Source organism: Homo sapiens, chromosome 3, assembly GCF_000001405.40.
Source record: "Homo sapiens chromosome 3, GRCh38.p14 Primary Assembly".
Taxonomy (NCBI): Eukaryota; Metazoa; Chordata; class Mammalia; order Primates; family Hominidae; genus Homo; species Homo sapiens.
The window spans coordinates 9,680,512-9,692,950 of NC_000003.12; the positions used below are offsets into that span (position 1 = coordinate 9,680,512).

General features: G+C 53.3%; 1 protein-coding gene across 51 annotated transcripts in view; it reads left to right on the forward strand.

Annotated features, from left to right (window-relative positions):
- The window catches only part of MTMR14 (myotubularin related protein 14), a 52,889-nt gene that overhangs the window by 31,007 nt on the left and 9,443 nt on the right, over positions 1-12,439 (forward strand). For 28 of the 51 annotated variants that reach the window (XR_007095717.1, NM_001400518.1, NM_001400521.1 and 25 more), the window contains 8 exons: positions 2,667-2,733; positions 4,074-4,159; positions 4,377-4,453; positions 4,700-4,736; positions 7,310-7,380; positions 8,185-8,243; positions 8,433-8,571; positions 9,453-9,632. Coding sequence is in view for 39 of the 51 variants with exons in the window: in NM_001400518.1 (NP_001387447.1) it covers positions 2,667-2,733; positions 4,074-4,159; positions 4,377-4,453; positions 4,700-4,736; positions 7,310-7,380; positions 8,185-8,243; positions 8,433-8,571; positions 9,453-9,632 (716 nt within the window). In the remaining 12 variants the exon portion in view is untranslated. The remainder of the gene's footprint in view (positions 1-2,666; positions 2,734-4,073; positions 4,160-4,376; positions 4,454-4,699; positions 4,737-7,309; positions 7,381-8,184; positions 8,244-8,432; positions 8,572-9,452; positions 9,633-12,439) is intronic. The other 23 variants (NR_174504.1, NR_174503.1, NR_174507.1 and 20 more) reach the window with 1 other exon arrangement.

The window sequence follows — 12,439 nt, forward strand, 5'->3', positions numbered from 1 at the left end:
TGCAGTCTGGTCTTGCCTGTTCTTGTGACCAGCTGATCTTCCTGCAGCCCATGGCCGGGCACGGTGGCTCATGCCTGTAATCCCAGCACTTTAGGAGGCCAAGGCGGGCAGATCACGAGGGCAGGAGATCGAGACCATCGTGGCTAACACAGTGAAACCCAATCTCTACTAAAAAATTAGCCGGGCGTGGTGGCGGGCGCCTGTAGTGCCAGCTACTCGGGAGACTGAGGCAGGAGAATGGCGTGAACCCGGGAGGCGGAGCTTGCGGTGAGCTGAGATCGCGCCACTACACTCCAGCCTGGGCGACAGAGCGAGACTCCGTCTCAAAAAAACAAACAAACAAACAAACAAAAGAAGGCAGCCCTCTCCAGGTTCGCACGTGCTGTTTTCTCTGCCAGAAACACGTGTCTCCTTTCTCTGTTGCTTATGCTGTCTCATGTCATCACCTCTGAGAAGCCTTCTCTGATGTCCCTACAGATCAGGCTTGGCTCTCCAGTCATATGGTTACACAGCATCCTAGAGGTCCCCTTTTAGTTGCACACCTGCAGTGGTTAACTTTGTCTTCCCTCTCCCGTGACTCCATGATTGTTGAGGTCATATTCACCCTTGTGTGCCTGGTGCCAGGCCCTTCAGGAGGCATGCAGTGTGAGGCTTACTGAATGAATGAATGAGTGAATGAATGAATGATAGGAGCAGTTGTGGCAGGACACATGTGTCTTGCTGCCCTCCATGTAACCGAATTGAATTCCGTAGAGGTATGCCCCTTCTTTCTGTGTCCTAAGACCCCTCCCTGGGGCTGCTGTCCCTCAGGCACTCAGCATTGCCCCAGCTATGAAGAAGCAGCAAGGAACATTCTGCAATGACCTCCTAGTCCCTGAACACTAAGCCTTAGAGATGCCAAAACAGCCTCTGCCCTCATGGGGATTAGACTAGGAAAAGAGGCAACAACGTAACCATCACCTACATTACAGTTTTTACCAGTGGTCACAGAAACCCCAAAGAGAAGATAATTGGTCTGGGCCTTTGAAGGATGAGTAGGAGTTTACCAACCAGCAGAAAGAGTACTCTAGGCATAGAAACATAAGCAGAGGCATGGCATTTAGCTCAGCTCCCAGAGACTTTTTCATGAAGCACGTAGGATGAGAGAGTCAGGCACGAGCCTTGTTTGTTTGTTTGTTTGTTTGTTTTTTAGCATATCTCCTCGGTCATCACTTTGAGCAGTTCCCTCAGACTTCTGCTTCTTACTCTGGTGTTATAGGAAGAGTACCTACAGTGATTAAGAATGTGGACTTTGGAGTCTGGCAGGGCTGGATTTATCCCTCAGCTCAGCCGTGTGACCTTGGCCCTCTACCAGCCCAGCCCTCCCCAGCCTGTAGTTCCTGCCCCAGCCTTGGGAACTTGCTGCCCCTCCCTGATGGTCAGCATCTCCTCCAGACAGCCGTCATGGTGGCTGGCATTCCGCAGCTCTCTTGTCCTCGGCAGGGCCTGCCCTCCCCGGCTGCTGCAGTCTTCCCCTAGCCCACCTGACGCTCACTGGGCTTGGTACAGTGCAGCTCTTACCTCCCTCTCCTGCTTTTCCTTGCCCTGTGAGAATCACTGCTCCATTGGCAATGGTGTGTCTGACACGTTGAGCCAGATGAGTTGAGAGACCCCTTGTGCAGCTACTGATAATGACTTTATTAGCACAGCACTACAGCGCCTGTCTCTGTAGTCACTAAAAGTGGGTCAGAACTCTCCAGGGGCGTGGGAGGGTCAGGTAAATGAGGCTGTTTTAAATTCCTGGGAAAGCCACTCCAATTACAGGTGCCGTGTTCCCCCTCCCCCTGGGAAGTGCTGTTTTGCTGGCATGCGTCACCCTCTCTGCACAGCCCCAGAACACTGCTAAGCAATTGTATCTTAAGAGAACAGAGACTGCCCCAGCTAGGGAAAAGGGTGCCGCAAAACTGGGTCAGGCCCTTCCATGGAGTTCCAGGTTCTGAGTGGGCTGTTTCTTAGAGGGTCTGGACTAGACCTTGCACTTGGGCTAGAACAGAGGTTCTCATCTCTTTAAAGCTTTTGCTTAATTTTCCATCTCCCACCTCATGGGCCTCCTTTTTTAAAAGACTTTCCCTGCCAGACAGACTCCATTTATTATTCATCAAAAGATAGTATGCAGTAAATAGCACTAAAAAGCAAATGAAGCATGTTTGAAAAGGTTGATGTTTTAGTTTCTGTGATGTGATGGCATATGAAGGAATGAATCTTTATGTGGCCATTTGGAGACATTGGCTACAGCCTCAGGGCTCTTCGTTTACCTTTACTGGCTTCCTGGACAGCCACACCAGGAGCCCAGCACTTAGAGGACCCTAATGTGGGCAGGGGGCTCTGGGTCACCCTGGCCTCAGCATCCGTTTCTGTTCCTCACTCTCACATTGGGTCAGAGCCCCCCCCCCGCCCCCGCCCCCCGAGTAGGGGGTCCACAGGCTGAGTGGTGGAGGGAGAGGTGGTAGGAGCTGCTGGAGATGGAATACGAATGTCCCAGATTATCTGGGATTCAAAACCTATGGTCTGTAACCAAGGACCTTGTGTAGTTGTTGCCCCAGAATAACTCTTGGCATTTTATTTTTTAAATACTTTAAATTCTAAATCTGAGTTAATGTCCATTTCTTCTCACTTTTCTCCAACAGTGTTGGGATCTGGTGCAACAAACACAAAACTACCTGAAGCTGCTGCTTTCCTTAGTTAACAGTGATGGTGAGTCTGTCTCCTCCAGAGCCCTCGAGCCACTGCACCCTTGGGGAGTTCCCAGTTCATTCTGCCTCAACTGTATGTTTGTTGGAGTTGCACACCTTACTTTTGTGCTGTGGGAGAGGAATTTGGGGAGTTCCTAGAATCCCAGAGGCTGGGTGGGATTTGTCCATTGGTGGCTTTATTCCATGTCCTCAAAATCCTAGAAAACAAAATTAAGAACTCCTTACCATCTATGCCGTGCACAGGGTATTTTCACACTGTCTCAGCATTGCACAACAGCATTGTGTGTGGGGCCAGGATGGGCCTCTCATTCAGAAAGATGAGGCATGAGATGAGAGAATCAATCCGGGCTGCTCAGTGGATGCACACAGCCTGTAGAGGCCCTGTTCTCCAGAGTCCTCCACCCAGTTTGGCTGTTTTGATTGGATGGGCCTGGCTTGCTCAATGTCTCTAGGGCAGACGGACTCTAAATCCCTGGTAGCAATCAGGACTTCTGTAGGAGTTGCACTTGCTCAAACAAGTGGAAATGCATTGGCTTATGGAACCAAGAAGGCCCAAGAACAGAGCCAGGTGAACATCATAAAGAATCTTTCTCTGTTTCTCAAAACCACTGTCTTGGCCTCATGGCTGGCAGCCATTCCAGACCTGTCTCCCGCCATCTTAGCTCCCCCAGGGGAGACTACCTCAGTCTCTGGAGTTCCAGTAAAGGTCTGAGCTTATGCTCATTGGCCCAGTTTGGGTTAAGTGCCCATCCTTGAACTAGTCGCTGGAGGGAGATTTGCCACAAAGTCGCATGCCAGCCCCTGGAGCCAGGCACTGGTTCTCTAGCTGCGGGCATTAGCACCCCTCAAAGCACTTCTGGAAACGTGTGTCTGGCATGTTAGGTGCTGCAGAAACTAGAGGGTGGGGAAGGTAGTACTAGCATGTGGTTAGAGTTGGCCAGGGATAGTCAGTGTCCTGCAATTCATGCAGCCCTGCACACTGAAAAATTGCCCACTCCCGCTACCCCCCAAAAAAATACTTGTCGTGCCCTCTGAGAAACTGGGTAGGGATGTCATCCCTGCCTAAATGACCTGGGCAAAGTGGACTGTGTAGGCTGCACTGTGTCCCCAGAAGTACACTGAGAACTATAGTCAGAAGGAAGAAAGGAAGCTACAAAGCCAGACGCCTGCCACTCACCCCTTTCTGGGACTAGGCTGGAGAAGAGCCATGGGGAGGCCACTGGGGAAGACAGAAGCTGGTGGGGCCTGGCTCCCTCCACCAGGCCAAGCTGGTGGTACTTCCTGCTCATCGGCCCATGTCTGGTTCTCTCCTGGGCATCCTCTCCTGCGGTTCCTGAGTAGATGACAGCGGGCTGCTGGTACACTGTATCTCAGGCTGGGATCGGACCCCCCTCTTCATCTCCCTCCTGCGCCTTTCCTTGTGGGCTGTGAGTATGAATCGGCCCCTACCAAGCTCTGCTCTTTGGGTGTGTTAGGATTGTCTCCAGACAGAGGGTGGAGCAGGGGATGCCATCGCTCAGAGCAGATGTGTTTAACCCTGTCCTTCCGGGTGTTCTTCAGCCTGCGTTGTCACTGGGTCTGGTTATGGTTCAGCTCCTGGGGATGAGAAGAGGGCTCTGTCACATCTCCTGTGGTCTCTTCCAGGATGGGCTCATCCACACGTCCCTGAAGCCCACTGAGATCCTCTACCTCACTGTGGCCTATGACTGGTTCCTCTTCGGGTAAGCCTTTGCAGGAGTTGGGTTTTGGGGCCTTAGTAACAGTTTCTATATGTGAGTTGTGTGGTGGCTCCCTTGACAGGGGCTGGAGGTAAGGATAATTCCACCCCTCGAGAAGGACCGAAGCTGCTGATCAGGCCCCACCTGCCACGCTGGTGCCAGTGACACAGTCTGTGTCTGGTGACCCTGTCCTCTTGGCCTTGTCATCTTGGTGCTGCTGACTTTGCCTCTCTACCCTCCTTTTTTCAGGCACATGTTGGTAGATCGGCTCAGCAAAGGGGAGGAGGTGAGTATACCACCTACGACTTGTGGGCACAGCTCAGCACTGAAAGAGGGGCAGTGGGTAGCCTGTCTGAGTTCCACGTGTTAGGGGCAGCTCCTTGCCCCAGGTGTGCAGGGATGTGGCCCCCTGTCATCTCCTCCTGAGGCAGCGTGGCAGGACAGGCACCAGCACAGTAGCTCTGTGTTCTGGGCCTCGCGGGCCTGTGCTGTGGAGAGGATACAAGCCCACACGTCGGGGTGAGCAGTTACATGACAGCCTTGGCTGCCTGTGATCTTCCCTCTCACAGGCCACTTGTTCTCTCTGCTCAGCTCTGGAACCCCATCCTCTAAGGCCTTTCTGTGCCCCTCGTCTCTGCAACTAAAATGCAGCAGCACTTCTCTTCCCCACCCTCCCGTCACACCCTTCAGCCACTTTTCAATGTCAGGGTGCCCGGCAGCAGGGTCCTGCCCCTGATGGTTGCCTCCAGGTCCCCTTTCCTCTGGACCTGCTCTTCCTTCCTCTTCCAATGTGCTCAGCACTCTCTCCCCCATGCCTGTCGCCTTTTCTGCGCCCCCATCCTGTCGGCCACTCTCCGCAGGCCTTACCTGTTAGTGCCTGTTTTCCTTGCAATGCAGGTCTGGAGTCGGCCCTGAGTGTGTTCCCTAGTTGGCCCCCTTACTGCCTGGGTGACCTTGGGTGGTCTGCTTCACCTTGAGTCTCCTGGTGTCAAGCGTGAGAGAATGAGTCCAGGTGCCCAGCATGGAAGCTGTCCCACGGTGTCAGCTCCTTCTCTTTGGCCCCCACTCCCCCATTTTCCCAAAGTGTGTTTCTCATCTTTCTCACCCTCATGGGGCTGCTTCCTTCCTGGGCATCTTATCTCGCACCTCCTCCTTTTGTTCCTCCGTCTCAGCTGCTCCTCTCCTCTTCCAAATCTCTTCTTCTGAACACTTATCGCGTCTGCCAGGGCTGTAGAGCTCTAAGCCTACTCCTCAGAGGCCTCCGTGAACTCCCTCAGAGGCGGTGACTTTGGTATTGAAATCAGTGCTTCAAGAAGCCTTTTTGTAGCCTCTCATTTTGGGACTTTCCCGGAGCTCTGGGACATTCTACCCTCCCTGTAGTCTCCCTCCCCGACAAAGCAGACCAGATCTGCCTGCAGAGGGTGGGGCTGAACCAAGTAGTGTCTGAGTTTGAGCCCTTGGCATCTCTCCATGTAGACAAGAGGCTCTCCTCAGCTGCAGGTTCATCTTCAGGACCTTTCTGTTACCCCCCCCAGACAATCCAGACACTGATGCGTCCAAAGCAAAAAACCCCAGGCCTATTAGTTAAACACGATTGTGTCGTCTCCCCACCTCACCTTGGAGGTTCGGGGAACATATTAGCATATTAGCATATTAAAGACTACAAAGTCTGTAGTGAAAACACCTGTTTAATCTTAAGTAACACAACATTTTCATACTGACCCGACCTGGGCAGCCCTCTCCTTGTGGGGGGCAGCTCCTTGCCTGGGCACACAGAGATAAGAAACTGACAGGGCTCGTGGGATGCCAAGTAGGGATTTCTCTGAGAGAGGGGCTCATGGGCCAGGCCTTTGGGAATCACCACAGAAATGGAAGCCTGGTGTGTGCTTCCTGGAGGCCCCTGGGCGAGGCACTGGCTGGAAGGGAGAAGATAATTTGCTCATGGAGGTGGGGGTGTGGCTGGGGTCAGGAGCCTCCTGCCTGTGCCCACCTCAAGCTTAAGACCTGACCCTCACAGCTCCTCAGCAAGGGAGGCTCTAGGCCAGACAGTGGCTGCCCACACCCGCAGTTCTGAACCAGTATTTTGGGATGCCTCCCCTAAAAAATGTGATTCCTTTCCTTTCCATTATGTTCCTGCTTTGTCCATTATTCTCCCTGCGCCCAAGTCATCTCTCCCGCAGCTATCCTTCCCTGTTAGCATCTCTCCCTGGGAATCTTAGAAGAGGGGAGAGGGTGCCATTTCACTTTATCCTTTTTAACCACTTGAGAACACACATGTTGAATTTAATGATGGTTTGAAAAATCACTGGCCTGGCTGGGCACGGTGGTTGACGCCTGTAATCCCAGCACTTGGGGAGGCTGAGGCGGGCGGGTCATGAGGTCAGGATATTGAGACCATCCTGGCTAACACGGTGAAACCCTGTCTCTAATAAAAATGCGAACAATGAGCTGGGCATGGTGGCGGGCACCTGTAGTCCCAGCTACTCGGGAGGCTGAGGCAGGAGAGTGGCTTGAACCCAGGAGGCTGAGCTTGCAGTGAGCCGAGATCACGCCATTGCACTCCAGCCTGGGTGACAGAGCGAGACTCTGTCTCAAATAAAAAAAAAAAAAATAGCTGGCTTAACCCTGGCAGTCCCAGGAAGGAAATCCCTTCCTGCCTTGCCCCGGCCCACATGCATCTGCCAGGCCCTTCCAAGGCCTCTGTACCACCCACACCATTTATGGACCAGAACACCCACACAGTCCCACAGCAGGGCCGCTCTCCAGCAGGGGCCTTGACCTGAGTGGCTGGCCGCCCTCCCCTGGGAGTTCTGCTGCCTTGGTTCTTCTCATTGTGCGCTGCTCTTTGGTCTCCTTTAGATTTTCTTCTTCTGCTTCAATTTTTTGAAGCATATTACCTCCGAGGAGTTCTCTGCTCTGAAGACCCAGAGGTAAGTGGAGGCCTGCACGTGTCATGCTGGGCCAGGGCGCTCTGAGAAGGGCTGCTCCCTGGGAGGCAAGAGGCTGACCACCTCATTCCCGCCCTGCCTCCCTGCTTGTTGGGCTGGTGCTCCCTCCTGCCTTCGCTCTGAGGCCAGGGTAGGGGTCCCTGCTGAAGGCCACTGGTGAAGAGGCTCTTCTGCAGGGAAGGCCATGTGGGGGTCAACTTGGAGTCACACTAGCAGACAGGCTTTGGGACAGACGAGTGGTCTCTCATGACCAAGAAAACAGGTGTGTTGCTGCAGGGAGAAGCCAGCCCAGGAGTAGGAGGACTCTTAACTCCCAGTGTGCCCAAGCTGACTCTTGTCCTCCATGGCCTACAGCAGGAAGTGTGGCTGAACACTGCAGCCCCCTACAAAAGGGCAGAAGTCTGCTTCCGGCCTGGGAAATGCAAGAGTCTTGGCTGGCAACTGCCTTAGGACCCCTGTAAGAGTTGGGGTCTTGCCTGAGTTGGTTTGCCTTCCTAATCCGAGCTACAAGCATGTTGGGCCACACTTGAACGCTCAGGGCACAAGCTGATGAGGAGGATGCAGACCTTGCTGCCCTCAGAAATCTTCACCTGTGTGTTGGACAGAGCCTTGCAGCGTGGGTCCCAGAAGTGGCCCTGGTGTCTTATAACACTCCCTAGGCTAGGACCCGTCTCCACAAGTTGCCAGTGAATTGAGCTGCTTTCCAGGACAGGCAGGATTGGGAACGGGGGACACAATAAGACCCCAGATAGATCTGGAATTTACTGCTCCGGCTTCCATTTCTAGGAGGAAGAGTTTGCCAGCCCGGGATGGAGGCTTCACCCTGGAAGACATCTGCATGCTGAGTGAGTCCTGGGCCCCAACAGACTTCCCTTCCTCCATACATCTTCCCGTGTACAGATCAGGCAGGAACTGTTTGTGCTAAGAGGTTTTTTGTTTTTTTTTTTTTCTTCCCAGTTATGTGGTATAGAAAAGGTGGGGGACCAGTAGTGGGAGAAGGTAACACGCTGACTGATGGCACTGGCTTCTTTTAGGACGAAAGGACCGTGGCAGCACCACCAGCCTTGGCAGCGACTTCTCCCTGGTCATGGAGAGTTCCCCAGGAGCCACTGGGAGCTTCACCTATGAGGCCGTGGAGCTGGTCCCAGCAGGAGCGCCAACTCAGGCAGCTTGGTAAGGGGCCAGACTTGGACCAAGGTCACTCACAGCTGTGGCCCGGGGCCATCAGCACCAGGGAGCCAGGCTGGAGCCCCAAGAACAAAGCAGGCCCCCAAGAGAAGAGCTGAGAGGATAGCTCCGTGCTCCTGCTGTCTCTACTGGGCCTCAGAAGTCAGCCATCTGGTTGGTGAAGGGCACTGCCTGTGGTGGCCCAGGAACATAAAGGGCTAGGGCTCCCTGTGGGACAGAGAAGCAGCTGGGCAGGGTAGGGCAGGGGTCTGGGGAGGCTGGTATTGGAGGAGCTCCATTTTATCATTTGTCGGGGAGATAGGGGGCCATTTTGGAAAAAGAAAACCAAAAGGTAGGTGTAAGTTGATGGGGAATTGGGAACTTGAGGGTCAGCTCCTTTGAGAATCTCATGAAATTGAGACCCTGATGACTTTCACCCTGGACAGATGGCTCAAGATGTTGCATAACAAAGTCCTGAGTGGTGGCTTATATTTATAATCCCAGCACTTTGGGAGGCCAAGGCAGGAGGATCACTTGAGCCCAGGAGTTTGAGATCAGTCTGGGCAGCATAATGAGACCCCGTCTTTTAGAGGGGGAAAAAAGATTTTGCATAACATATGGAGGTGGGCAGTGACTGAAGAGTGAGGAATCATTTTCTAGCACATACTTCAAGACCAGTAGGCTGGTGTGATTTGGATGCCACAGGCCCTCCATAAAGACCCAGCCCTGCTGCCCATGGCCCTGAGCTGGAGAGAGTGCTAATGTTTGCCAACTCATGTGATGTTTTCCCAGTGGAAGTAAAGCCTAGGCCTGAAATTCAGTGAGGGTGGGCAGAGGGCTTTGCCTGCAGTGGCCCCCGGCTCACAGCCCTGCTCCTTCCACTGCAGGAGGAAGAGCCACTCATCCTCTCCACAGAGTGTCCTCTGGAACCGGCCACAACCCTCAGAGGACCGCTTGCCTTCCCAGCAGGGGCTGGCGGAAGCCAGGTCTTCCAGCTCCTCTTCCTCAAACCATTCTGATAACTTTTTCAGGATGGGTAGCAGTCCCCTGGAGGTCCCCAAACCCAGGTGAGGAGCTCCAAAGCCCTTGCTGTTGGAAGTGCCTAGCTTTCCCCCTTAATAAGACTGGAGGGTCGGGGGCCAGCACCTGAGCTAGGGTCTCAAGATGGGGTTCCTAAGCTTGCAGGCCCAGTATTTGGAGGATGGGTTAGTGTTTGGTAATAAAGCAAGGGCTGATTTGTAGAGTGGTTTGAGACTCCTTCCTCGAACCCTAGCATAATGCAGGGGAACCCAGAAGTGCCGTGGCTGTTATGTGATAGGTGGGGAATAGGGACTGCCTCCACTTGTTACCTTTGGCAGATCCCAGCCTCCTAGGCGCACCTCCCATTGTGATTGAAGAGATAGATCTAGATTCTGAGTCCCTTCTGGCTCCCACATCTAAAGTCTGAATTGGTGGGGCAGTGAGAACAGTGTTAGGGAGCTGAGCTACATGTGTGTGGCTGGGACAAACGATGGTGACTGCACACCTGGAAAGGGAGCAGCTCAGCCAGGATGGCCATGCCAGGGCCGTGGCTGAAGGGCGCTGCAGGAATGGTGCCTCCTGGGTGAGTTTAAAGCTGAGCACAGGCCAGAGGCTAGGATTGAGGGCTGGTCTGGCACTTGGGGAAAGCATTTCCTACCACTTTCATACTCCCATCGAAAGAATCCTGTGAATTGCTTTGTGTTCTAAAGTTTTGAGAATGTCTAGCCTTTCTGGAGTGAATAAAGCAGCGTGGGACTTCAGGCCCTTAGTGAATTCCAGGGAAAAAGGGGCATTTAGAAGAATGGGCATGAGCTTTGGCATCCATCCCAGGTTCAAGTCAAGCTCTGCCACATGTCCATGTGATTTTCAGACTCAGTTTAGTCCTTGGTAGTAATAGGTCTGTTAAGAAGAAAAACATTCTGAAACTTCTGGAACCTTCCTCCCATCACCCCTCTATGGTTTTTCCCTCTGGGCAAAAACAGGCAATGAAGGAAGTTGGGGAAGAACATCCTCTGCACATAGGCAGAGCAGATAAGCGGGAGGCAAGTGGGCGTTCCAGACTGCACTGCCCACAGGGGCCCCATGTGCTCACCCCTGCGTGAACTCTTCAGCTCAGAACACTGCCTGAGTGCTGGAGCTGAGCCTGTGAAACCACCGCCACACGCCGTCTGGCCCCATGGGAGGTGTGGTGGAAGTGGTGGGGCAGAGATGGGGCCAGACAGACAAGCCCATGTGCCGGTGCCCCGTCCCATCCTGTGTGTGCATGCCTGCTGCCGCACCACCCTTGTCTGTGCCCAGCTGTCCTCAGGGCCACTCTGAGGCTGCAGTGGCACTGTTTGACCCTCACTGTTCTAGGCTGTGGCTCTAGGTCATGGTTCCTGCCCCCTTTTCTGCCTGTCCAGCATTGCTGAACAACTAGGGAGGAAACCAGAGGTTCCTCTTGTCCTCTGGGTCCTGCCTCAGTCTTAACTGCCCAGAATGCAGTGAGCTCCCAAGCTGAGGCAGCACCCCATCACCCGTTACCACACCCTGGCTCTCCATCTCCTGCCTGCCAAAAGATCCCACTTTCCAATCCTGTGATAGTGTCCCTCAGTCTCACAGGTGACTTTCTGCTTGCAGGGCGTGTCTCAGGCTCTTGTAGCCAGTCCAGGATGGCCACCAAGGCCCCCTCTTGGGAGGCTGAGGAGAATTGGGGTTGTCCTCCTGACCTCAGAGCCCTGCACATGGGGGCTTGGCCAAGCTTGGGATAGCTGGACCAAGATGGGTGCAAGGCTTTGAAAGGTGTGGGGTGGGCAGCTGTGAGGTGTTTGATCTTTCCGCTGGTCTGTTTGGGGGATGCCTGTCTGGAGCCAGACTTCTTCTGACTTGGATGCCTGTTGGTCAGAGGTTTTGAAAGTCTAGATTACTCAGATTTGGAGCATTCTAATTATGTATTTCCATTACCATTAAAATTAATTTAGTCTCTTATCTTAAAGTGCCTAAGGGATCCTGTCATTACCCTCCCTGCTTCTTAGGTAACAATAGCCTGTGAGGTCTTTAATGTGGTAGGAGAAGCTGTTTGGAAAGAAACCTTTTAGTGAAGCTGTCTGTGACAGCCAAAATTCTCCTAATGTGAATTCTTTGGGTTTTTATACACTCCAAATTCTACAGGCATCTCTCTTTTAAAGCAGGATTCCCCCATGGAATGAATCTGTGAAGCTTTGTTCAAAGTTAAGTAGTAGGTATGAATCAGGTTGGGAAGAAAGTTCTGTGGGGTGCCAATTCTTACTAACCCCGAGCCCACAGCCCTTACTGGCAAGCCCAGTGGTTTTTAATCATTGTTAGCTGTTGTTGCTGCAGCAGCTTCTGATTAAGTTGCATTTCTGGACCATTGTTAAATCTCTCATCAGCGACAGGGTTGAGGGCTGGGACAGGCCAGGACCAATGCTCTGAGCTCACATGCCTCCCCCAGCTCTGGTTAGCAGGTCGCTCCACCTTGCATGGCCTCGGCCTCGGCCTCTGCTCTGGAGTCATGCATCCTTTAGGAGTAGGGAGGTTGCTAGCACAGGATTGTCCATGCCCAAGGAGGGTTGGTGCCACCACTGAGCCCAGCTTGAAGCCAGGCTACCTGAAGAGCAGGTGAAGTTTGCGGAGGGATGCCCAGCAGCCTGGTTGAATAGCTGAGTAGCAACACAGGGACCAACCTCTGCTGCCCAGTTAGCTACTCTTCCCCCAGCCACCACCACCTGCTAACTGCTCTTTGAGCAACGAGCTCTGTCTTAGGCTGTCTGCTTGTGGGTGGGAGCAGGGTAAGTTTAGATTAGGTGACAGCCAGGTCCCCTCAGAGCCCAGGATTCTATATCTTAGCTCAAGT